Source organism: Homo sapiens, chromosome 10 (assembly GCF_000001405.40).
Source record: "Homo sapiens chromosome 10, GRCh38.p14 Primary Assembly".
NCBI classification, from domain to species: domain Eukaryota; kingdom Metazoa; phylum Chordata; class Mammalia; order Primates; family Hominidae; genus Homo; species Homo sapiens.
The window spans coordinates 95,097,046-95,098,907 of record NC_000010.11 but is presented as its reverse complement, the minus strand read 5'-3'; the positions used below and the strand labels follow the sequence as shown (position 1 = coordinate 95,098,907).

Genomic DNA, 1,862 nt, shown 5'->3' with positions numbered 1-1,862 from the left:
AATGCAACTGAACAACTGAATTTAAAACTGCCTTTACTTGTAATTACTTTAAATTTAAATTAAATAACCATGAATCATTATGGCTACTGTGTTGGACAATGCAGATCTAAGTTTTTTTTTCAGTAATGCAGGGTTAGAAATCCTTCATCCTCAATCTGTAATACTAAAATCCTGAAAAATTAAAAGCGAATTAAGTTATTTGTAATTTTATTTGATGGCCAAGACTTTAAGTGAAGTGAAATGAATCCATTTATGTCCCTTACTCATCCATCTTTGTGTAATTACTAATATTTTTCTAAAGAAATATCAAAATGTTTGATTATATTTTATCATCCACATTACTGGAAGTTTCCAAAATCTGTAGAAAATATAACAATATATATTTAAAGTCAAACCATTCTGAATTAGAAAACATATTGGGCTCCAGGGATTTCAGATAAAGGATGGTGTACTTATACCTCCATGAAGACAAATAATCATATCCCCAGTTAAAGCAGAAAAGTGGGAAGAGGGTATGATTGACTACCACCCCCCACCCACAGATAATTTTGAAATGAATGGTAAAAATAATTTTGAGAAAGGACAATTTCCTCCAAGTTGTAAAATAGTTATGTGGATTTTATGTGCCCAAATTATGCCTCTTCTTAGGTTTTCATGTGATTTTCCTTCCAGGAAAAGGCATGATCAGAGTCACAGTTGCATGCATAGGGAAGAAGGTTGAAGGAGTGTCATTTATGAACAGAGCATTCTCCCTTTGGCTTTTCTAAGTAAGTCAGGTACTGTCTCATGCAAACTGCCCTGAAAATGGAAAATTCAAGTAGGTGTTCCAAAACACAAGTGACCTGTGATAAGTCAAGTTTAGCCTACAGGTATCTGTTTACACGTTTTAATGTCAGTCCAAAGGTTTCTCTATAGATAGTGGACTCTGACCTGCCTGAACATGTAAACAAACTGTAACCTACTCTTGTACCAGTTACCAAGTTTCAGCTAATCAAAGGCAACCAAATGTTCCAACTATGTTCAAATAAGACAACTGCTAAGCTGTAACCAATCTAGCTATTTCTGCACTTCACTTCCATTTCTTGTACATCACTTCTCTTTTTCTGTCCATAAATCCCCTCTGACTACATGGGAGTACAGAGTTGCTCTGAAGCTATTCTAGCTTAAGCAGCTGCCCAATTTACAAATATTATTTGCCTAGTTAAACTTTGTTAAATATAATTTGCCTGTAGGTTTTAATTTTAACAAATGTTGTCTGAAGTGGGATCCAAAGTAGGTATTTTAGTGACCCCCAAAACATCAAATGACCAAATGAGGTACCTGCCATGTTGATTCATGTCCATTACTTTCTCACAGCTACTGGGGATTGTGGTTAAATTCTCTCTTGGATTACAAAGCTCTACAGATTTGCATTTTGAGCTATCTGTGTTTGAACACATTTTTAATCCAAGCTGGGTTTAACAGTCACAACAAAAACTGGATTAAATTAAAATTCAGATTAAATTTAATCCTTAACTGACTTGGATTCAGTTAGAGGCCTTAAATGCCTGACTTGGTCTTACAGAAACTGACAGTAAATGGAAATACTGAAAAGGGTGTGAAGTTCAGTTTTCATAAATTGCAGAGTTTTTTTTTGTGTGTGTGTCCTATCCCCTTTGTTTCTTCTTCGTGCGTAGTTAGGTGGGGAACAATCATTGGCTAAAGTGATCAAGAGGAATCTGAGAGCCAAAGCTAACATTTAACATAAAGATAAGATTCTTAATATCTAAAGAAATGAGTACTCTACCTTCTGGCTATGCCTACCTATACATGTATAATTATTAGGCTCCTAAAACAATAAATGCTTACAAAACTGACAGTTA

At 34.6% G+C, this 1,862-nt stretch overlaps 1 annotated feature.

The window, feature by feature from the left end:
* Positions 802-1,096: an enhancer, noted in NCBI's record as "tiled region #2936; HepG2 Activating DNase matched - State 8:EnhW". NCBI's record gives its function as "activates a minimal TATA promoter and a strong SV40 promoter by Sharpr-MPRA in HepG2 cells {active_cell/tissue: HepG2}" and the evidence as "EXISTENCE:reporter gene assay evidence [ECO:0000049][PMID:27701403]".